Here is a 24,083-nt window from a genome sequence, read left to right as displayed (position 1 = left end):
GCCCGGCTGGCTGCCAACTGGAGGTCCTAGGATGCTAATAGCATGGCTGAGGCCAGGTCTGAAGGCCTCAGAGCCAGGGAAACCAATGATGTAACTCTCAATTTGAAGCCAAAGCTCAGAGAGCCTGCGGGGGTCGCCAGTGTAAGTCCTGGAGTCCAAATGCTGGGAGTCTGGAGTTGTTGTTCCAGGACAGGAGAGGAAGAGTGCATGGCAGCTCAGCAGATAGATTTGCCTTTTCTCTGTTTTTGTTCTCTCCAGGCCCCCAGCAGATTAGATGGTACCTGCCCACATTGAGGGTAAATCTTCCCCACCTAGTCCACTCAGACTCCCATGCTAATCTGCCCTGGAAACACCATCACAGACTCACCCAAACATAATGCCCTAGCGGGTTTCTACGTATTTCTTTATTCAGTCAAGATGACACCAAAAATTAACCATTACAAGTGAAGTTTTTATCTTGCCCCTCCATTGTAATTCACTGTGATTATACTACAGCCCTGTTGATGTGGTGGTAAGGTATTAGGGAAGGAAAATGTCCTGTAATCCTGTGAGTCTCAGTTTTTTAGTAAGTCTGAGTTCCTGGACTGTGAACTTCAGAAGTTTCTTTGCCTGCCTGCCTGTCTTCCTCCCTCCCTCCCTGCCTCTCTTCCCTCTCCCTCCTCCTCCTCTTCCCTCCTTTCTTTCTCTCTTCCTCCCCTGACCCACCCACCCCATTAAGTTATCCAGAAAGCTACTGGAGGCTTCATTTTTCAAGTTTTCCTTTTCCCTTGGCCAGATAAGGTTCTGATAAAGTAGTTTTCCTGGATGGAAGGCCTTTGTTATGGAAAACAGAATGTTCTGGGCATTTTTCAAAATGGTTACTTTTCTTTGAGTGAATTTCAAAATGGTTATTTTTTTCTCTCTCTCCACCTGTCCGAAGAGTGGGGGATTTATTTTATTCTCCAGTCTTCATCATGAGAATCTGGTGAGGCTTTTGGAGATGTAACAAAACTTATGAAAGTATGTCACTTCCTGCCCCTACCCTGAAAGATTGGGCCTCAGGATTTTCTCTTATACTTGTCTATAATCAGCTTCCAGCAATCATCAGTTGCCATGTGTTTTTACCAGTTATTGGCTTACTCGGCTTTTGCTTCGGTAAAACTGTGATCTCTGTATTTGCCCGCTGTCTCTTCAGTTTTTAGGTAGGAGTTTGTCTTGTGACCTCGTTCTCTGATGGATATAAGAAGTTTTATTTTATTCAGCTTTTTTTTTTTTTTAATTGTGGGGAGGACTTAAATGGCACCTTTCAGGCTCTTTACATGTTAGAACAGAAATGGGGCAATGGCTCACACCTGTAATCCCAGCACTTTGGGAGGCTGAGGCAGGTGGATCACTTGAGGTCAGGAGTTCAAGACCAGCCTGGCCAACATGGTGAAACCCCGTGTCTACTAAAAATACAAAAATTGGCCGGGCGCGGTGGCTCACGCTTGTAATCCCTACACTTTGGGAGGCCAAGGCAGAAAGATCACCTGAAGTCAGGAGTTCAAGACCAGCCTGACCAACATGGTGAAACTCTGTCTCTACTAAAAATATGAAAATTAGTTGGGCCTGGTGGCATGCGCCTGTGATCTTAGCTACACAGGAGGCTGAGGCAGGAGAATGGGTTGAACCCAAGAGGTGGAGGTTGCAGTGAGCTGAGATTGTGCCATTGCATTCCAGCCTGGGCAAAAAGAGCAAAACTCTGTCTCAAAAAAACAAAAAGTTAATTAGCTGGGTGTGGTAGAGTAGGCCTGTAATCTCAGCTACTTGGGAGGCCGAGGCAGAAGAATTGCTTGAATCTGGGAGGCAGAGATTGCGGTGAGCTGATATTGCACCACTGCACTCCAGCCTGGGTGACAGAGCAAGACTCCATCTCAAAAAAAAAAAAGAAAAAAGAAAAAAAAAAAAGCCACCTCAGCCTCCCAAGTAGCTGAGACCACAGGTATGTGCCACCACACCCAGCTACCATGCCGGGCTAATATTTTGATTTTTTTGTAGAGATGAGGTCTTGCTTTGTTGCTCGGGTTGGTCTCCTGGGCTAAAGCAATCCTCTTGCCGTGGTCTCCCAAAGAGCTGGAATTACAGGCATGACCCACCACGCCCAGCCAGTTCTATCCATTTTGGCTTTATGTATTTTGTTGATCTAATGATTTGTTTCTTCTTCTTCTCTTTTTCATCTCTTGACACTAAGGACAAGTATACATTTAGGATTTCTGTGTCTTCTTGGCAAATGGACTTGTAAAAATCATTATTTAATGTCCTGCTTTATTTCTGGTAATTTTCTTTACTCCATAGTCTCTCTCTTTTCATATTAATATGGCTGTCTCACATTAAAAAATATTATTTGCATGGTGTATTTTCTCCATCCTTCTACTTATATTTGAAGAAGATTTCTTGTAGGTAGCATATGTTTGGGTCTGTTTTAAAGAACATTCAGTCTGATAGTCCTTCTCTTTAATTGGTGTGTTTAGACCATTTATACTTAATGTAACTATTAATATGTTTGGATATAGATGTATCATTTTGTTATTTTCTTTTTGTTCATTAGGTTTTATTTCTCTTTCTGGGATTTCTTGAATGTTTCTCAGTATTCCATTTAATCAATTTATTGAGGTTTAGACTATATATCTTTGTATAGGTATTTTAGTGGTTACTGCAGGGATTATGGTATTCATATTTAACTTTGTTTACTTAGAAATAATATTGTGCCACTTGAAGTGGAATGTAGAAACCATATTGCCATGCAAGTTCCTTTACCCACCACATTATGCTGTAGATCTAGGTATGTTGAGAATTGCTTCAGACAGTGTTACAAATTTTGCCTTCAGCTAGCATAAGAAGAGGAAAATAGTCTATTTATGTAGCTCTTAGTCATTTTGAGATGGAATCTTGCTCTGTCGCCCAGGCTGGAGTGCAGTGGCGCCATCTTGGCTCACTCCAAGCTCCACCTCCCAGGTTCACGCCATTCTCCTGCCTCAGCCTCCTAAGTAGCTGGGACTACAGGCGCCCGCCACCACGCCCAGCTAATTTTTTGTATTTTTAGTAGAGATGGGATTTCACCGTGTTAGCCAGGATGGTCTCATCTCCTGACCTCGTGATCTGCCCGCCTTAGCCTCCCAAAGTGCTGGGATTACAGGTGTGAGCCATCATGCCCAGCCTGCTCTTTGTCATTTCTGTTGCTCTTCCTTTATTCCTGAAACTCCAGTTTTCCCTCTGGTATTACTTCCCTTCTGTCTGAAGAACTTTGTTTTTGTTTTTGTTTTTTTTTTTTTATTGATCATTCTTGGGTGTTTCTCGCAGAGGGGGATTTGGCAGGGTCATAGGACAATAGTGGAGGGAAGGTCAGCAGATAAACAAGTGAACAAAGGTCTCTGGTTTTCCTAGGCAGAGTGTGTGTGTCCCTGGGTACTTGAGATTAGGGAGTGGTGATGACTCTTAAGGAGCATGCTGCCTTCAAGCATCTGTTTAACAAAGCACATCTAGCACCGCCCTTAATCCATTTAACCCTGAGTGGACACAGCACATGTTTCAGAGAGCACAGGGTTGGGGGTAAGGTCACAGATCAACAGGATCCCAAGGCAGAAGAATTTTTCTTAGTACAGAACAAAATGAAAAGTCTCCCATGTCTACTTCTTTCTACACAGACACAGCAACCATCCGATTTCTCAATCTTTTCCCCACCTTTCCCCCTTTTCTATTCCACAAAACCGCCATTGTCATCATGGCCCGTTCTCAATGAGCTGTTGGGTACACCTCCCAGACGGGGTGGTGGCCGGGCAGAGGGGCTCCTCACTTCCCAGTAGGGGCGGCCGGGCAGAGGCGCCCCTCACCTCCCGGACGGGGCGGCTGGCCGGGCAGGGGGCTGACCCCCCACCTCCCTCCCGGACGGGGCGTCTCGCCTGGCGGGGGGCTGACACCCCCACCTCCCTCCCGGACGGGGCGGCTGGCTGGGCGGGGGGCTGACCCCCCCACCTGCCTCCCGGACGGGGCGGCTGGCCGGGCAGAGGGGCTCCTCACTTCCCAGTAGGGGCGGCCGGGCAGAGGCGCCTCTCACCTCCCGGATGGGGTGGCTGGCCGGGTGGGGGGCTGACCCCCCACCTCCCTCCCGGACGGGGCGGCTGGCCTGGCGGGGGCTGACCCCCACCTCCCTTCCGGACGGGGTGGCTGCTGGGCGGAGACGCTCCTCACTTCCCAGACGGGGTGGCAGCCGGGCGGAGGGGCTCCTCACTTCTCAGATGGGGCGGTTGCCAGGCGGAGGGTCTCCTCACTTCTCAGACGGGGCGGCTGGGCAGAGACGCTCCTAACCTCCCAGACGGGGTCGCGGCCGGGCCGAGGCGCTCCTCACATCCCAGACGGGGCGGCGGGGCAGAGGCGCTCCCCACATCTCAGACGATGGGCGGCTGGGCAGAGACGCTCCTCACTTCCTAGATGGGATGGTGGCCGGGAAGAGGTGCTCCTCACTTCCTAGGTGGGATGGCGGCCGGGCAGAGACGCTTCTCACTTTCCAGACTGGGCAGCCAGGCAGAGGGGCTCCTCACATCCCAGACGATGGGCGGCCAGGCAGAGACGCTCCTCATTTCCCAGACGGGGTAGCGGCCGGGCAGAGGCTGCAATCTCGGCACTTTGGGGGGCCAAGGCAGACGGCTGGGAGGTGGAGGTTGTAGCCGAGATCACACCACTGCACTCCAGCCTGGGCACCATTGAGCACTGAGTTAACGAGACTCCGTCTGCAATCCCGGCACCTCGGGAGGCCGAGGCTGGCGGATCACTCGCGCTTAGGAGCTGGAGACCAGCCCGGCCAACACAGCGAAACCCCCTCTCCACCAAAAAAATAGGAAAACCCGTCAGGCGTGGCGGCGCGCGCCTGCAATCGCAGGCACTCGGCAGGCTGAGGCAGGAGAATCAGGCAGGGAGGTTGCAGTGAGCCGAGATGGCAGCAGCACAGTCCAGCTTCGGCTCGGCATGAGAGGGAGACCGTGGAAAGAGAGAGAGAGGGAGAGGGAGAGGAGGGGAGAGGGAGAGGGAGACCGTGGAAAGAGAGGGAGAGGGAGAGGAGGGAGAGAGAGAGGGAGAGGGAGAGGGAGAGCTGAAGAACTTTGTTTAGCATTTCTTTTAGAGCAGGTCTGTTGGTGGCAAATTTTCTTGTTTTTTTTCATCTGAGAATGTCTTTCTTTCACCTTAATTCGTGAAAGATATTTTTACTATCTTTGTTGTTGTTGTTGTGGCTGTCATTTACTTCTCAGAGCCCTCAGATGCTGCCTCCTTCCTTGTCTTTCGTTGTAGGGCTCTTAGGTTCCTTTGAGGGGTTGTGGTTAGAAAGAGGAGACAGTGAATACCTTGCAAGGAGACATTAAACTCCATGAGAGAGATCCCCCCAAAACCAGCAGAGGTACAGGGGGCTATAGATTCCTGGAGAAAAAGAGATCTTCAGCCCACTCCTTGAAGATCCTGGGGAAGTGACAGAAACCAGAGTGAGCAGATTACTGGCTGTTGCAGCACTCAGGGCTGCTGGGCTCCAGGCCTTGGCTCAGTCAGGATGCCTGTGCCCATCGTGGCACAGATATATTAGGGCCACCTGACTTCTAGGATAATGAGTGCCTACTGACCTTAGCCAGTTTGGTCATTTACAAATTTTAGGTTCCTTTTGCTAGAGGAGATTGGCCACGTAGGAAGTTGGAAATGAATGAAAGGTAGTTACTCCCCCTCATTATAACCTTGCTCTCTGGTTATAATGAAAGGGAGTCTCAGACCAACTTCTGTCAATTACACATATAGGCATTAAACAGTATTTAATAGGCCAGGCATGGTGGCTTATATCTGTAATCCCAGCACTTTGGGAGGCTAAGGTGAAGAATTGCCTGAGGCCAAGGCCAAGAGTTGGAGACCAGCCTGGGCAACAAGGCAAGACCCTGTCTATAAAAATTTTAAAAATTAGCTGAGTATTGTGACACATGGCTGTAGTCCCAGCTACTTGGGAGTCTGGGGTGGAAGATCGCTTGAGGAAGATCGCTTGAACCCAGGAGGTTAAGGCTGAGGTGAGTCATGTTCACACCACTACACTCCAGCCTGGCTGACAGAGCAAGACCCTGTCTCAATCAATCAATCGACAATCAATGTAAACCGTAGGCATCATGCAAGGCGGGGCATGCTGGCTCACGCCTGTAATCCCAACAGTTTGGGAGGCTGAAGGGGGAAGATTGTGTGAGGCCAGGAGTTTGAGACCAGCATGGGCAACACAGTGAGATCCCATCTTTACAAAAAACGAGAAAAAAAAAAATAGTCGGGTGTGGTGGTGTGTGCCTGTTGTCACAGCTACTTCGGAGGCTGCATCAGGAGGATCACTTGAGCCCAGGAGTTCAAGGCTGCAATTAGCTCTGATGGGGCCATTGCACTCCAGCCTGGATGACAGACTAAGATTCTGTCTCAAAACCAAAACAAAACACCTGGCAAGATAGAGAATGGATTGGTGACGACCAAGCAGACGGAAAATGAAAAAGGCCCTCCCAGCTGGGTGAGGTGGCTGATGCCTGTAATCCCAGCACTTTGGGAGGCTGGGGCAGGCAGATTACGAGGTCAAGAGATCCAGACCATCCTGGCCAACATGGTGAAACCCCGTCTCTAATAAAAATACAAAAATTAGTTGGGTGTGGCGGCACGCACCTGTAGTCCCAACTATTTGGGAGGCTGAGGCAGGAGAATCACTTGAACCTGGGAGGTGGAGGTTGCAGTGAGCCGAGATCGCGCCACTGCACTCCAGCCTGGCGACAGAGTGAGACTCCATCTCAAAGAAAAAAGAAAAAGGCCTTCCTCTGCTCCCCGAGCTGAGCACACTGCCTTATCCCAAGCCAATGACTTGGCTTCATTTACAGGAAGGAGACTTTCTGGGTGAGCAGATACCTTGCCTTACGTGGCCCTATTTTTAGGCTCTGTGCAGGTCATCACGTGATAATCACTTAGGTTGAGCAAAGTTGTGCAAGTCTCTTGAGACTGAAGCTCACAGGTAATTGCTGAAAACTAAAAGTGTTACAGAACATGTGAAACGCTGGAGAATATCATAAGATCTTGGAAGCAAAGCAACCTGGCTGGGAAAAGCAGAAGGTGCAAGCGTGTGTCTCGCTTCTGCGGCTTGATATTGAGAAATGAACAGTTGAATCTGCAAGTGTCTGTTGCTGTGAGTATGGAATGGGACAGGCCGTCTCCGCTTTTTACTGCTCTGCATTTGCAGTTCTCAGAATACACCTATTATCAGGTACTCTGTGCCTCTGCCTGCCTACTTGCTCTTGGCCTAAACACAGTCTGAAGGGAACAAGGACCTCTTGTCCCTTGGTGTGGGAAGTAACTATTTTAAAATGTAAGAGCAAAGAACAACCTGACTGCATGTTGAGGACAATGGAATGTATTTGAATGAGTCTTCATACTCAGAAAAGTTGGTCAAGAAGGAAAAAGGCATCATTGCAAATTACCTTAGTCAGCTTCCTTGGGAAGACATGACCATTTGAAAAATCATTATAAGTTCCAAGGGGGTAAAATAAATTATTATTAAATGAAGGGTTGGGCAGGCTCATGCCTGCACTTTGGGAGGCTGAGGTGGGTGGATCACCTAAGGTCAGGGGTTTGAGACTGGCCTGGCCAACATGGCGAAACCCCATCTCTACTAAAAATACAAAAAATTAGCCAGTGTGGTGGTGGGTGTGTGTCCTCCCAGCTACTTGGGAGGCTGAGGCAGGAGAATCGCTTGAATCCAGGCGACGGAGGTTTCAGTGAGCTGAGATCACAACACTGCACTCTAGCCTAGGCGACAGAGCAAGACTCCATCTCAAAATAAATAAAGAAATAAATAAATGAAGACTTAATTACTGCCTATTCTACTCAGCATGTTTATCTTTGTTTTTCGTTTGTTTTTGAGATGGAGTCTTGCTCTTTCACCCAGGCTATAGTGTAATGGCATGATCTCGGCTCACTGCAGCCTCCACCTCTTGTCTTCAGGTGATTCTTCTGCTTCAGCCTCCCGAGTAGCTGTGATTACAGGCGCATGCCACCATACCTGGCTCATTTTTTTTTTTTTTTTTGTATTTTTAGTAGAGACGGGGTTTCACCATGTCGGCCAGGTTGGTCTGAAACTCTTGGCCTCAAGTGATCTGCCCGCCTCGGCCTTCCAAAGTGCTGGGATTACAAGCGTGAGCCACTGCGCCCAGCCCAGTATATTTATCTTTGAACAAAGTGGATAATGTTGTTAAGATCATCTACCTCTTTACTTTTTATACATCTAGATAATTCTTTTTATATATCTAGTTCTATCAATTGTCAAGAAGTTAGAGTTTAAATATCCAAATATGCTTGTGGAATTGTCCATTTCTCTCTTTTATTCTGTTGAGTTTCGCTTTATTTTGAGGCTCTAGTGTTAGATGCTTATACATTTATGATATATCTTTGTGTTGAATTATCACTATAAAAAGTCCTTCTATCTTTGGTAATTAATACTGTACTCTTTTTTTTTTCCTTTTCTTTTTCTTGAGATGGAGTTTCGCTCTGTTGCCCAGGGTGGAGTGCAGTGGTGTGATCTCGGCTCACTGAAGCCTCCGCCTCCTGGGTTCAAGAAATTCACCTCCCTTGGCTTCCCGAGTAGCTGGAATTACAGGCATGCACCATCACACCTATCTAATTTGGGCATTTTTAGTAGAGACAGGGTTTTGTCATGTTGGCCAGGCTGGTCTGGAACTCTTGACCTCAAGTGATTCACCCTCCTTGGCCTTCCAAAGTGCTAGGATTACAGGTGTGAGCCACCACACCTGACCAATACTGTACCTCTTGAAGTCTATTAATATGGTCTCTCCAGCATTCTTGTTTACAGTATGCATGGTAGAGGTTACAGCCACTTACTTTTCAAAAATAATGGCTTTAAGTGAGATATAATTCAAATACCATATAATTCACCTGTTTAAAGTGTGCAGTTCAGTATAAAATAAAATACATGCAGAGTTGTGCAATGCAGTTTCATCACACCCAAAAGAAACCCTGTACCTGTTAGCAATCACTCCTCATTTCCTTCCAGCTGGGAGTGGGAGCTGTGGAGGTGGGAAACTCCCCTGGTGCCCATAGCTCCCTTCCAGAATCCTCCTGTTTTTGGTTGCTCTCAGGTATCTGCCCTTAGTAGTTGTGTTCTGTATTCTATCCAAAGTTTATCATTTTTATTTGGGGAAAGATCAGTTTGGTAGGATTATTGGCCCTTATATATGTATCCATGCATGATACAGAGTCTCACCATCACCCAGGCTGAAGTGCGATCTCAGCTCCCTGCAGCCTCGATCTCCTGGGCCCAAGTGATCCTCCCACCTCAGCCTCCCGCGTAGTTGGGATCATAGGCATATACCACCATGCCTGGCTAATTTTGTTTATTTAATTACTAATTAATTTATTTAGACACAGAATCTCACCCTGTTGCCTAGGTTGGAGTACAGTGGCATGATCATGGCTCACTGCAACCTTGACCTCCCAGACTCAAGTGATCCTCCCACCTCAGTCTCCCAAGTAGCTGGGAATACAGTTGCACATGACCATGCCCAGCTAATTTTTGTATTTTTCTTTAGAGACAGGGTTTCATTATGTTACCCAGGCTAGTCTCAAACTCCTAGGCTCAAGTGATCCTCCCACTTTGACTTCACAAAGTGCTGGGATTACAGGCATGAGCCACTGTACCCATCCTTGATTTTAAATAGATAAAAGTTTTTTGTGTTACATAAAACTTTTTGTTTGTTTGTTTGAGACAGGGTCTTGCTCTGTCACCCAGGCTAGAGTGCAGTGGCATAATCATGGCTTACTGTAGCCTTGACCTGCTAAGCTCAAGCAGTCCTCTCCCACCTCAGTCTGCTGAATATCTGGAACTACAAGCATCTGCCACCTCTCTTGGCTAATTTTTTGCTTTTTGGTAGAAATGAAGTCTCACTATGTTTGCCCAGGGTGGTCTTGAACTTCTGGGCTCAAGCAATCCTCCTGCCTTGGCCTCCCAAAGTGTTGGGATTATAGGCATGAGGCACCGTGTCCGGCCTGTTTTTTTTTTTTATTGAAAATAAGCCGGGCATGGTGGCTCACGCTTATAATCCCAGCACTTTGGGAGGCCGAGGCGGGCGTATCACCTGAGGTCAGGAGTTCGAGACCAGCCTGGCCAATGTGGTGAAACCCTGTCTCTACTAAAAATACAAAAATTACCCAAGCGTGGTGGTGCATGCCTGTAATCCTACGTACTTGGGAGGCTGAGGCACGAGAATCGCTTGAACCCGGGAGGTGGAAGTTGCAGTGAGCCCAGATTGTGCCATTGCACACCAGCCTGGGCAATAGGGAAGATAGACACGGAGGCCTCACTGTGTTGCCCAGGCTAGTCTCAAACTCCTGGACTCAAGCGATCCTCCTACCTTGGCCTCCCAAAGTGCTGGGATTACAGGCAGAAGCCACCACGTCTGGCCTGATGTGTCTTTCGTGTTCTGAATGGTAGTTACATGAGTGTGTTATCTTTGTAAATATTCCTTGAGCCATATGCTCATGATTTGTATACATTTACCTTTGAATATTTATTTTTCAGTACAAATTTTACGTAGAGTAAATGTGTTAAAATTCTCATTTATCTACCTGGAACATTATCCATGGTATATTGTGTAAATAGATATAGCCTCTATGGAGAGCAATTTGGCTATATCCATCAAAATTGTCAGTAGGAAGATGTAGGAGCCTCGGCAGGTGTGTGTGGCATGGGCTGCTTTGTTGTGGGGCCTGTCTGTACGTTACGGAAGAGGTGCCTGAGAGCCATGTCTGACAGTGTCACAGGGTTAGGTGGACACAAGTTGATGTCCAGGCTCCACCAAGCTAGACGCCTGATAGACTGCCTACATTTTGGGTCAGGACCATGAGGAAGATTATTCCCTAGGAACAGGAGTGAACTGGAAGGAAACTGGCCTTCTCAGAAACCAAACGCTGTTTGTATTCATCTCAGCCTGTGATCTCGACTCAGGTTGTTACCGGGGTGCTGATGGCTATTTCTCTGTAGAGGAAAAAAAAATCATCCCAGGGCACATATTTTTTCTAGTTTTAAATATATTGGCACACAATCAAGATATTCAGGCCCGTGGAGCTATGATAATCTGAATGAAAGACCTGAGTGGCACATACTGCCAAAGCGGGCTCCCCAGGGTCCCTGATGCTGCAGTTACCAGACACAGGTTTTTTGTTTGTTTGTTTGTTTGTTTTTAAGATGGTTTTGCTCTGTCACTCAAGCTGGAGTGCAAAGGTGCAGTCACAGCTTACTTCAGCCTTGACCTCCTGGGCCCAAGTGATCCTCCTGCCTCAGCTTCCTGAATAGCTAGGACTACAGACCCCCATCACCACACCTAGCTAATTTTTTTTTTTTTTTTTTTTTGTTTTTTTTTTTGGTAAAGAACAGGGTTCTTACTATGTTGCTCATGCTGGTCTTGAACTCCTGGTCTCAAGCGATCCACCCACCCCGGCCTCCCAAAGTGCTGGGATTACAGGCATGAACCACTGCACCTGGCTACAGCCATAGGTTTTGTATAAATTGTGATCCTTAAACTCCAGTATGCAGATTGCCATTCTGTTGTCTGAGATGCACTGTGTTCTCTTCCATGAGCCCATACCCTTCCAGGTGGCAGAAAGTTCATTTTTATCCATCCAGAAGTCACCCAGGGCTATGTCTCTACCTGGCAGGGGTTTCATGTTCTGTCCACTCTGGCACTCAGGGGGCTGTCCTTCTGTCTGTCTTTGGGCCTTGGTTCCCATGGGTCCCCTGCACACAGACCTTTCTCCTGACCCCATGCTCCGCAGAGTGCAGCCCTCCCGCTGTGTGGCTCCTTGTTTAGCTTCTGCTCCTTGTTGCCTCGACACACCTCGCTGCCCTTCCTTGCCTGGGCTCCTGCCCCTTCCTGAACGTTGCCTGAAAGAGTGAATTCACTCTCACTTCCCCCACACCTACCTGCAGGTTAGGTTAGAAGGCCTGGTCCTTCTGCCCTGACCCGTGCCCTGCCTGCCAGGTCCAGCCATAGCTGCCTGGAAGGCTTGCATGTTTATTATTTGCAGCTGTTGGCTGCTGTCCAGGGACTGAGCATCTGAACCTCAGACAACAAGAAGAGCCTCCCAGTTTGTGGTGTTCTGCTCTGTCTCCCTCCTGGAGGCAGCAAGTACAGAATATCCTCCTGCTGCCCAAGTTGGGCAGAGTGAGCAGGGAGCAGGAAACGGAGTCACCTCCATGGGCCACTGTTTCAGAACCTCTTCCCATCGTGCCTGTTGAACTGAGATGCTCTTTCCTTCCTCTTTAGCTTCCCTGGGGAGAAAGATAAGTGAAGGACACTCTTTTTCGACCCAGGTTCACATAATGGCGTGCAAGTCTGTGCATTTTTGTTTAAAGGAATGAGATTTTATATGGGCTTTACTTGTGACACGTGTTCATGCTAACCTAGCTGTATTTATTTCAGCCTAATATGCATCTGTGTTACACATTGGAGGAAAATATCTTTGCCATGGGAATGATAATTATTTTTCTTAAAATTGTTTTTAATGTTAAAGAAAATCAGAAAGTACCTTTCCCAATGTGGCCCACAAGCCATTGGTTAGAGAAGTGGAGACACTGGGGCCTGTACTGTGTGCATCCTCAGTACTGGCGGGGACCAGTGAGTGGCTCTGTTTAAAATGCCATTTCCCCAACCTTTGGATTTTTGTTTTTGTTTTCGGTTTTTTTTGTAACAGTATGTCTGAAGCCAATTACGATTCCAATAAGCTGCATGTGGTGGCAGGTACCTGTAGTCCCACCCACTTGGGCAGCTGAGGTGGGAGGATCACGAGCCCAGGAATGTGAGGCTGCATTGAGCTGTGATCACACCTGTGAATAACAGCCTGGGCCACATAGCAAGACCCCATCTCCAAAAAAAAAAAAAAAAACCCAACAAGGGTGAGAAGTAACTTCCAGGCATAGTGGGGTCTGAAGTGGAGGGCCACAGTGAGCAAGGCCGCTGCACCAGTGCCCTTGCGTGGGGAAGCAAAAGGTGAGCTGAGACCCCCACTCCATGAGTGCCTCACCTGCACCAGCACTTTCCCTGGGTGTCTCAGCTCAGCCTTTCTTTGATTCTAGCCAGACCCTGATTCTCCAGGAAGGCCTGAGTAACCCGGTGTGTTTACTGACCTTCGCAGATAGGCTCGGCTCTTCGCAAACTTGTCCTCCAAGCTGTAAGAGCCACCTGGAGCTACTCTGAATTACTTTCTGTGTCTCCTTTCTTTTCCCATCCCTGTTCAGCACCTCTATTTTTCTCTCCTGGACATAGCCTGGGATGTGGTTCTTTCCAGGACCTCTCAGCCTTGCAGGGGGGTGTGTCTAGACCTGACTGAGTTGACTTCAAACTTCAGGGCTTGACCAAATGCTGGAGGCTTGTGGCCCCTCCGTGATTTAGACAGAAGGGCGAGCAAGCATGCCTCTGTCTGTATAGTGCCAGCATGGCTTGGAACAAAAGCTCTGGCATCACTGTTTGATTAATAGGATAAACATGCAATTGGCCTTACAAATCCAGAGGATTATGTTACCTTTTATTTTTTTTAGTAGATTTATTTTTTTCTTTCACAGCTCTTTTAGAAAAGTGGTTTAACCTATGTATATGGTTAGTTTGTCAGCGTTCTTTTTGAGGTGGGGAGGGTCTGGCTATGCTGCTCAGGCTAGTCTTGAACTCCTGGGCTCAAGTGGTCCTCCCACCTTTGCCTCCCATGTAGCTGGGATTACAGGCACACACCACCATGCCCAGCTCTTTTAGTAGATTTTTAACTTGAGTTGGAAGAAAAAAAAAATGATAAAAGGCTTGAGGGAAATAGCTTCTGTAAAAGAAAATGAAATTTTGGTACCTCCCCATCCCCACCCCGCCAACTGGTTATGCCAAAGGGAGAGTTAAGCCTGGGAATGGAGTCATGCAACTGCTGTTCTTTTTCCCCAAACAGAGCTGTAACTTCACAACAATGTGTCATAGTGTTAGACATAAGCCAGGTCCCAGGATGGTAAAAGGCTGTATACCTCCCGATGGCCTCCCTCACAAATTGCTCACAGGGACATCCCTTGCTAGCCCCTAAACCTTTCAGGATACATATCTGCTGTAAAACCAGTACATGCCAATTGTAACCTTGGATCTGCAAGCCAAGTTTAACTCCTCAAACTGAATCCTGTTAAATCTCACACTGACAATGTTGATGACAAGCTTACCTTCCCAAGTGCAGAACACGCTCAAGACAGGATCAATCACTCTTCCTGCTTGACTCTCCTCCATTCCCTGTTTTCAAAGATTTACCTTATCTGATATAAAACATACGGGTGCTGAGCAGTTATTAGAGCCTCATAAGAATAACCGTTTGCCTCCCTGCCCCCACCCTTGTTTCCCTCCTGCCTGCCCCCACCTCACACACACACTAAGTTCCCACATCCTCTTTGGAAAAGCAGAGGTCACAGATGCTTCAGTGGCTTGTGTTTTCCCTGGGTGCGTCCTCAGACTTGGCTCAATAAACCTCTGCTGATAGAGACACTTGCCTCAGTGACCATTTTTGTTGAACACCCTACCTTCTTTTTTCTACATCTGTTAGGGGCAGGTTCATATTTTCTTTTCTATCTTTTCTTTTCTTTTTTTTTTTATTTATTTATTTGAGACGGAGTCTCGCCCTTGTTGCCCAGGCTGGAATGTGTGGGGGAAAGAAAGAGAGATCAGACTGTTACTGTGTCTATGTAGAAAATGGAAGACACAAGAAACTCCATTTTGTTCTGTACTAAGAAAAATTCTTCTGCCTTGAGATGCTGTTAATCTGTAACCCTAGCCTCAACCCTGTGCTCCCAGAAAACATGTGCTGTATTGACTCAAGGTTTAATGGATTTAGGGCTGTGCAAGATGTGCTTTGTTAAAAATGTGTTTGCAGGCAGTATGCTTGGTAAAAGTCATTGCCATTCTCCATTCTCAAGTACCCAGGGACACAATGCACTGCGGAAGGCCGCAGGGACCTCTGCCCAAGAAAGCCTGGGTATTGTCCAAGGTTTCCCCCCACTGAGACAGCCTGAGATATGGCCTCGTGGGAAAGGAAAGACCTTACCGTCCCCCAGCCCGACACCTGTAAAGGGTCTGTGCTGAGGAGGATTAGTGAAAGAGGAAGGCCTCTCTGCAGTTGAGATAAGAGGAAGGCATCTGTCTCCTGCTGGTCCCTGGGAATGGAATGTCTCAGTGTAAAACCTGATCGTACATTCTATTTACTGAGATAGGAAAAAACCGCCTTATGGCTGGAGGTGAGACATGCTGGCAGCAATACTGCTCTTTACTGCACTGAGATGTTTTGTAAAGTCAAACATAAATCTGGCCTATGTGCACATCCAGGCACAGCACCTTTCCTTAAACTTATTTATGACACACAGTCCTTTGCTCACATGTTTTCCTGCTGACCCTCTCCCTGCCATTACCCTATAGTCCTGCCACATCCCCCTCACCGAGATAGTATAGATAGTGATCAATAAATACTGAGGGAACTCAGAGACCAGTGCCGGTGCAGGTCCTTGCTTGCGGAGCGCCGGTCCCCTGGGCCCACTTTTCCTCATCTATACTTTGTCTCTGTGTCTTATTTCTTTTCTCAGTCTCTTGTCTCCACCTTGTGAGAAATACCCACAGGTGTGGAGGGGCAGGCCCCCTTCATCATGCAGGGGCACAGTCACGGGTCACCACAGCCTTAACCTCTCGGCTCAAGTGGTCCTCCCACCTCAGCCTCCCAAGTAGGTGGGAATACAGGCACATGCCACCATGCCCGGCTAATTTTTCTGTTTTCTAGACAGTCTCGCTATGTTGCTCAGGCTGTTCCCGAACTCCTGGCCTCAGGTGGTCTTCCTACAGCAGCTTCCCAAAGTCCTGGGATTACAGGCATGAGCCACTGTATCCACCCCCTTTTTTCTTTAAGTAAACGTAATGTGAGCCAAAGTGTTTGGAAAGAGAGACAAATTCCTTTTGATACACAGATGCCAAGTGTTTCATGTGTTCTTTTCACTGTCCTCTCAGTGTTGAATTTACTTCTGATCCACTTTATTTCATTCTTGTGGCTCTAAAAGTTTTCCCCTTTTAGAAGGATGTTTGCAGACGTGTGTATGGCAGGTTTAGCTAGAACCTTGTAAATATTCTACCTGGAGTTCTGAGATTTTCCTGACTTTTGACTTTTCCTGTGTGGAAACATTTTTTAAAAAACATGTTAGGGACATTGTGGAGTTGGTTGGAAAGAGTGGCTCAAACCGGGCTGAATGGGCGTGTCTGGAGATCCAAGGTCCGAGTGGGCTTTCCGTGCTGACACTGCTCAGCTGAGTGCATTGTGCTGCACGACCTCAGGCCACGACATTGATTTAGTTCCACTCGTGCATGATGAGCTGCCAGCTTTTGTTTGGATGTAAAATAAAAACTCACATTGCCTTTTTCCTAGCACAGAGCAGGAGAGGGAGAGGGGAAGTGAGACTCAGCAGACATTGATGGAGGGTCCATTAAGAGCCAGGTCCATGCTGAGCAACGGCCAGAGAGACAGTGTCTGGGACGAGCTTGGATTCTGGATGAGGCTGGGTGTGGGAGCTGTGGCCATGGGTGCCGGGGCCAGCCCTGGGTGAGGCTGGGTGTGGGAGCTGTGGCCATGGGTGCCGGGGTCAGCCCTGGATGAAGCTGGGTATGGGAGCTGTGGCCATGTGTGCTGGGGTCAGCCCTGGGTGAGGCTGGGTGTGGGAGGTGTGGCTGTGGGTCCCGGGGTCAGCCCTGGGTGAGGCTGGGTGTGGGAGGTTTGGCCGTGGGTGCCGGGGTCAGGCCTGGGTGAGGCTGGGTGTGGGAGGTGTGGCCGTGGGTGCCGGGGTCAGGCCTGGGTGAGGCTGGGTGTGGGAGGTGTGGCCGTGGGTGCCGGGGTCAGGCCTGGGTGAGGCTGGGTGTGGGAGGTGTGGCCGTGGGTGCCGGGGTCAGGCCTGGGTGAGGCTGGGTGTGGGAGGTGTGGCTGTGGGTACTGGGGTCAGCCCTGGGTGAGGCTGGGCGTAGGAGGTTTGGCCGTGGGTGCTGGGGTCAGGCCTGGGTGAGGCTGGGTGTGGGAGGTGTGGCCGTGGGTGCTGGGGTCAGCCTTGGGTGAGGCTGGGTGTGGGACCTGTGGCCGTGGGTGCTGGGGTCAGCCCTGGATGAAGCTGGATGTGGGAGGTGTGGCCATGGGTGCTGGGGCCAGCCTTGGGTGAGTCTCTGTGTGGGAGCTGTGGCCGTGGGTGCTGGGGTCAGCCCTGGGTGAGGCCGGGTGTGGGAGATGTGGCCGTGGGTACTGGGGTCAGCCCCGGGTGGGGCTGGGTGTGGGAGGTGTGGTCGTGGGTGCCGGGGTCAGCCCTAGGTGAGGCTGGGTGTGGGACGTGTGGCCGTAGGTGCTCGGGGTCAGGCCTGACTGAGGCTGGGTGTGGGAGCTGTGGCCACGGGTGCCGGGGTCAGCCGTGGGTGAGGCTGGGTGTGGGAGCTGTGGCCATGGGTGCCGAGGTCAGCCCTGTGTAAGGTTGGGTGTGGGAGCTGTGGCTGTGGGTGCTCAGGGCCAGCCCATAGGCCAGCACGCTCAGGTAATGGCCATCTGCAGAACACCCTGTCCAAGACCAGGCTGCTTGGTGTCCTCTGATTTCCCCCTCAGGACTCTTGTGGAGCTCAGTGGTGAGGGGAGCCCAGAAGGCATTGTGCTGGGCCCAAGAGAATGAGAATTTTGGAGCACAAAGGTGCCTGGGATCAGGTTTGGCTTCCTCATTTGATAGCTCAGCTCAGGCCCAGAGAGCATAAGCAGCTTGACTCGGCCACACAGCTGCCCAGGAGTGCAGCAGAACCCCCCCGACCAAGCTGCACTGGACCGGCTTGTGTGGAGGTGGCCATCCTTAAATGTGCCCCCATGGCAAGGAGGGACAGGGCAGGAACCTTGGGGAAGACCAGCATTGCAGTGCATCTGCCCAGTGGATCCCAGGAGTATAGCTGTCCCAGGCAGTGTGCAGTGTTACCTCATTAGTTTGATTTGCATTTCCCTAATTACTTATACTGTTGAGCATCTTTCTGTGCACTTTTTGCCCATTAATGAATCTTCTTTTGGGAAATGCACGTTAAAACTTTGATGCTGACAAGTTGCTGTCCGTAGAGGTTGCCCCGGTTTATTTCCCATCAGCGTGTATGAAGCCTGCTTTCCTATGGCTTCATCAACAGAGTGCCAGTCTGCTGTGGGCCAAGTTGTGTTCCCCAGAATTCGGATGTTGAAGCCCTAACCTCCAGTACCTCAGAATGTGATTGTATTTGGAGACAGGTTCTTTAAAGAGGTAATCAAGTGAAAAGTAAAATGGAAAACATGGTTTCTCTACTCAGCAGAACACTTCTAACACCAAACGTGGTCTTTCCACACCACGTAATTCTCCAATTCTCTTCAGAGGCCCCTGGATGTCCTAGAATTTAACCCAGTTCTACACTACCTGGAGTTAGTGCAGACCCCATAGGTTAAGGGCTCAGTTCCATTTGGCTTCCCCCAGTTCAGAAGGCAGTCATGAGTCCCACGTTGTGACCTGTGCATCTGAACGACTGACTTTAAATCAGGAGTCCCCAAGACCATCTCTGGGGGTTGATCATCTGATAGTGTGGCTTGCAAAGCTCAAGGAAACATTTACAAATGTTTACCGGTTTATTATGAAGCTGTGACCAAGAATGTGGATGAACAGCAGATGAAGAGGTGGATGGGGTTTAGCTGCAGCCCCGCCCACCCTGGAGGCTGGGGGTGGGATTATCCTAATCCCAGGGTTGGTCCATCTGGTAACCAGCCCCTTTCCTCCTAGAGTCACCTCAGTAATATAAACGCTGGTGTAGTTGAAAGGGGCTTATTATGAATAACAGAATTCCCTATTACTCAGGAAATTCTGAGGGTTTTGGGAGCTGTATGTCAGGAACCTAGGACCAAGACTAAACATACACTTTTTGCCACACCACAGTATCACATGAGGCCATAAGGGTGGCCCTGGTTCTATATGACTGGTGTCCTTATGAGAACAGATGAGGACACAGGCACATGCAGGGGAGACATCTGCAAGCTGAGGAGAGGCCAAAGAAGAAGCCACGCCAACTTCTTGATGAGACGCCTCTTGATGGCTCTGGAACAGAGGGAAATACATTCTGTTTTCAGCTGTCTGGCCACGGTGCCTTGTCACAGCAGCCCAGCTGACCTGAGGCACAGTCTGACAAGCGAAAAGTCCTCTCTCTCGGTGGGGTTTGTATCTCTCCCGATGAGCACAGTGGAGCATCTCTCCACATGTTCAAGAGCCATTTGTATTTCCATCTTTGTAATCTAGATCCTTTGCTTTTGGAGGGTGGGGGTAGGGTAGGTTGTTTCAGTACTGATTTTAGGAGCTCTTTATTAAGGGAATTAACCTTTGGCCTGTGATTTACATTAAAATTACCTTCTTGTTTGTCATTTATCTTCTGATTTTATTCTTTCCTATTTAGAAATTGTGACTTTTATATAGTCAAATTTCCCACTCTTTTAAGGGTGAAGCAAAAGCTGCATTTTATTCTAGATCTTTTTTGGGTTAAATTTTTCTTGGTTCTGAGTACCTTCTAACTCTGATGTTCTATAACATTATGCTCTGATTGAGGGGCACAGGCAGGTAAGAAAGCACTTACCCACGAAAGCTTGGATTGAATAACAGGTATGGAGAAATCACTCATAAACTGTTCAGTCAGAATCCACCTGGGGGAAACCTGCTGGACCTGCTCAACCTTAAAAACTCAAGTGTATGCTGTGAAGGTGTTAATGGAAAACCCAAACTGTAAAATATCTTAAGGAGGTTTATGCGGAGCCAGTATGATTGACCGTGGCCTGGGGAAAACACAAACCCAGGAAGCCTTGATAAGTGGTCCTGAGGCAGTTAGGGCACGACTCTGTCTTATGCATTTTAGGGAAGCAGAAGTCACAGGCAAAGTCATACATTAGTACACTGCACTCCATCCTGGGCAACAGAGCGAGACTCTGTCTCAAAAAAAAAAATAAAAACAAAACAACAAAGAAAGAAAAGGGGTTGTGGAGACCAGGGTTCTCATTATACTTAGGGAGCCTCCAGATAGCAGGCTTCAGAGAGAATCCATTGTAAATGTGTCTTATCAGAGCTGATTCTCTCCTGGATCAGGAAGAAGGCCTGGAAAAGGAAGGAGATTCTCTTCAGAATGTAGATTTTCCCCACAAGAGACAACTTTGCAGGAGTACTTCAAGATATGGCAAAGAAATATAGTTTGTAGTAAAGTACTTCCAGGGCTTGCTATCTGTCTTATGATGCTGTGCTAGAGTCAAGCTGGTATCTTATTGCTACAGGAGTCTGTCTTGTCAGTCTTGAGATCTGTTTTAATGTTAATGCTGGTCAGTTGTGCCTGAATTATTCTAAAGGGAGGAGGGCATAATGGGGCAGTCCAACCCCCCATCCTGTCATGCCTGAACTAGTTCTTCAGGATAACTTTGGAATGCCCTTGGCTGAGAGGAGGGCACCATTCAGATAATGGGGGGGGGCTCAGAATTTTATTTTTGGTTTACACCTCCCATACATGAGGACATGCCAATGTATGAAAAGGGGAGACTTTAGGTCTACAGTCTAAGTCTGGCTCCTGAAACGCCACACTGATAATGTTGATTACAAGCTTATTTTCCCAAATGCAGAGGAAAGACAAACTCCCTTCTCCACCTACCCGGAGATGTCTGTGGAACTGACTCCTCCTTTAGTCCCTACTCCTCTTCAAATGTTCACCTTATCTTACGTAAAATGTAGATTTACTGGGCACCAGCTCAAGGCCCATGGGAATAGAACCATTCCCTTACTGCCTACCTGACCCTCTTCCTACATGCCTTCTGCACTTTAAAGGAATGTGTAAATACTAAACCTCCAGAAAACCTCTTCAGGAAAACAGCCACAGATGGAGCTATCCCAGGTTTTCCTGGATGCTCCCTAAAGCTGCTTAATAGGCCCTGAGGGTTGAGACTTCTGCCTCAGTCCCTCATCTCACTTGTCATACTTACGGAGATAAAGAGCTCTGTTCCTCCTCAGCTCAGTTAAATCTCCATCTGCTGTTTTAACAAATGCAGCTTGAAGACAGATTTGTTTATTTAAACATTCATCCTGTCAAGGGAGATTGACCAGCAATGATTAGACCAAGTAAAAGTTGTTTGGGGTGCTCAGAAACCAGAAGTCTGTTTTAGCAAATGTCTTTTCCCTGCACCCAGCTTGGTTCCTGCCAGAGGAAAAACCTTTTTGTGGCTGCTTTTTTCATGCCAATGCTGTTAGCTTTTGGGTAGAAAAGGAGGGAGTTGAGTTTAGGAATCGTAATGTGAAAAATACAGACTCCAGTGTTGTGGGACTCAGAACAGCCAGACTTCTCACAAGGACCCGTGCATCTGAAACAAAGACTTGGCCCCTGGGACTGAACATGGCCTCTGAAGTTTCCAAAGATTCCACTTCCTGTTCTCCTAAGCACCTCAAATATTTTATGCCATAGCGGCCTTTCAGCATAGTCAGGTCACAGTCAGGTCACGTGCAAATGTGTTCTTTAATCTGTCTGCATCCTGCTCATTCCTTGAAAGTAATTCATTACTTTTACTACAAGTTGAGAAATAGGAGATGCAGAGTAGAACTAATGAAAGATCCCTTCCTTCATTGTCTTTGGTCTAAAGATAGATGGTTCTGTGGGCCCATCAGTCCTGTGCACCTCTTTTATCCTATTATGTGGATGCTGGTGAGGCCAGAGCCAGGAGTTGCCTGGGGCCACTCATCGTCACTGTTTTCCCGTCCAGATTCCACGCGTCAAATTGTGGGCAGTGAACAGAAGTGAGAATATGTGTGAGTGAGGCTAGGTGAGTGTGGGTTTGTCACCACTGCTGGACAAGGTTTCTCTTACACCTTTGAAAAAGAAGAACCAAGTTGGAGCACTCAAAATTCTAGTTTTGAAGCTCACTACAAGGCCACAGAGTAATCAAAACACTGTGGTAATGGAAAGAATGAAGATGGACTCTTACCTTACATTATATATAAAAATTAGGCCAGGCGCGGTGGCTCACGCCTGTAATCCCAGCACTTTGGGAGGCAGCGCCTCAAGGGCCTGCATGTAGAATCTTCTCCTGTCCAGAAACCTCCGGCTAGAGGTTTGCCATTGGCCACTTCATGCTCACCTCATGGAAACGACGTGGTGGCCTGCAGTTGGTTGCTTTCAACATCAATCAGAGGCTGAAGTGGAGTTACAAATGTTACACTCTTGTGCAACATCTAATTGGTTGCATTTTGCAGCCAATCAGAGGCTAAGGTAAAGTTACAAAGTTGCAAAGGAGGACTCCACCCACAATCAGTCTGATTGGTTGCGGACAGCCAATTTCCCATCTACCACGCAGAAAAGGTTGGGAGTTTGCAAAGGGAGTAGCCTGAGTAGCCTCTGGTCCTTTTGTTACTTAGGCGTCGAAAGTTAGGATTTTCCTTTCAATTTAGTTGGGCATGAAACAGCCATAGGTTCCCTCCTCCAGAGCCTATTCTCCTGCCTCACTCCTACCTCAGTCTCCTGAGTAGCTGGGACTACAGGCACAAAGCACCAAGCCCGGCTAAGTTTTGTATATTTTGTGGAAATGGGGTTTTGCCAATGTTGCCCAGGCTAGTCTGGACCTCCAGAGCTCAAGCTGTCTGTGTGCCTTAGCCTCCCAAAGTGCTGGGATTACAGGCATGAGTCACCACACCCGGCTGCAACTGATTTTTAAGTGCTGATTTTGTATCCTGCAATTTTGCTGAATTCACTTATTGTTTCTAACAGGTGGGTGGGTATTTGGGAGGGGGGTGTGTGTGTCTGTGTAATCTTTAGGATTTTCTACACAGATTGTATCATCTACAAACAGATAATTTTACTTTTTTCTTTCGTATTAATAAACCATAAGCCATATTTCTTTTTCTTTTCTTTCTTTTTTTTTTTTTTGAAGACGGAGTCTTGCTCTGTTGCCCAGGCTGGAGTGCAGTGGTGCGATCTTGGCTCACTGCAGCCTCCACCTCCCAGGTTCAAGCAATTCTCGTGCCTTGGCCTCCCAAGTAGCTGGGATTACAGGCGAGTAGTGCCTTCCACTACCCCTGGCTAATTTTTGTGTTTTTAGTAGAGAGGGGGGGTTTCACCATGTTGACCAGGTTGGTCTCGAACTCATGACCTCAAATGATCCGCCCGCCTCAGCCTCCCAAAGTGCTGGGATTATAGGCATGAGCCACCACGCCCAGGCTTTTTTTTTTTTTTTTTTTTTTTTTTTTTTTTTTTTTTTTTTTTTTTTTTTAGTGAAAGCAAGTTTATTAGAGAAGTGAAGAAACAAAAGAATGGCTACTCCATAGAGCATCTTCGAGGGCTGCTGGTTGGCTGCTTTCAGAATTCTCTATTTGCCTTTAAGGTTTGACCATATGGCTATAATGAGTCTCAGTGTGGATCTCTTTAAGAATATTCTTTTTGGGTTTCTTACCTTTTGGATCCAAATATGCATGTCTTTCATCAGATTTGAGAAGTTTTTGGCCATTTTTTCTGTGAATGTTTTTTCTGCCCCATTCTTCTTCTTGGTCTCCTCTGATGTGTATGATTGTACACTTGACCTTTAGACTCTGTTCATTTTTCTTCATTCTTCAAATTGTGTAATCTTTCCTGTGTGCAGTGACTGAAGTTTCTGTTCTTCACAGTCAGCCAGTGACCTGACAAAGTTTCTCCCTTCCCAAAAGGTATTCCCATCCCTTTATATATTCTGATAGATGCTTTTGAGGGAAGCTTCTGTAGCCCAGGAAGGCTGAATGCAAGGCAAAGTCTGCTTCATTCCCTAAAGGAACCACTAGACCAACCAAAACCCTGAGCCCATGCTTTGGAGGACAGGGTCCCCACTGCCCACTCTGGCACCAGCCAGACACCCCAGGAGTGCAGGCTGCTGTCATCCAGCTCTAGGGCAGCAGGAACAAGGGCTGAGGAACAGGGATGGTAGCAGGCCCATAAGGATCTGAAATGATTCCAGAGTTT

The 24,083-nt window shown here is 48.0% G+C and overlaps 1 protein-coding gene across 14 annotated transcripts in view, besides 3 other annotated features; it reads left to right on the top strand.

Annotated features, from left to right (window-relative positions):
* Nucleotides 1-24,083, top strand: part of NINL (ninein like) — a 132,835-nt gene that overhangs the window by 19,470 nt on the left and 89,282 nt on the right. The window lies entirely within an intron of this gene.
* Nucleotides 1,178-1,677: an enhancer, noted in NCBI's record as "H3K27ac hESC enhancer chr20:25545021-25545520 (GRCh37/hg19 assembly coordinates)". NCBI's record gives its function as "activates a minimal SCP1, AML or CMV promoter by ChIP-STARR-seq in primed H9 embryonic stem cells {active_cell/tissue: H9 hESC(primed)}" and the evidence as "EXISTENCE:reporter gene assay evidence [ECO:0000049][PMID:30033119]".
* Nucleotides 4,784-5,313: an enhancer, noted in NCBI's record as "H3K27ac-H3K4me1 hESC enhancer chr20:25541385-25541914 (GRCh37/hg19 assembly coordinates)". NCBI's record gives its function as "activates a minimal SCP1, AML or CMV promoter by ChIP-STARR-seq in primed H9 embryonic stem cells {active_cell/tissue: H9 hESC(primed)}" and the evidence as "EXISTENCE:reporter gene assay evidence [ECO:0000049][PMID:30033119]".
* Nucleotides 16,380-17,203: an enhancer, noted in NCBI's record as "H3K27ac-H3K4me1 hESC enhancer chr20:25529495-25530318 (GRCh37/hg19 assembly coordinates)". NCBI's record gives its function as "activates a minimal SCP1, AML or CMV promoter by ChIP-STARR-seq in naive H9 embryonic stem cells {active_cell/tissue: H9 hESC(naive)}" and the evidence as "EXISTENCE:reporter gene assay evidence [ECO:0000049][PMID:30033119]".

The sequence above is a fragment of the Homo sapiens genome, chromosome 20, assembly GCF_000001405.40.
Source record: "Homo sapiens chromosome 20, GRCh38.p14 Primary Assembly".
Lineage (NCBI taxonomy): Eukaryota > Metazoa > Chordata > Mammalia > Primates > Hominidae > Homo > Homo sapiens.
Note: the sequence above shows the minus strand (reverse complement) of the source record. Positions and strands in the feature narration are given on the sequence as shown.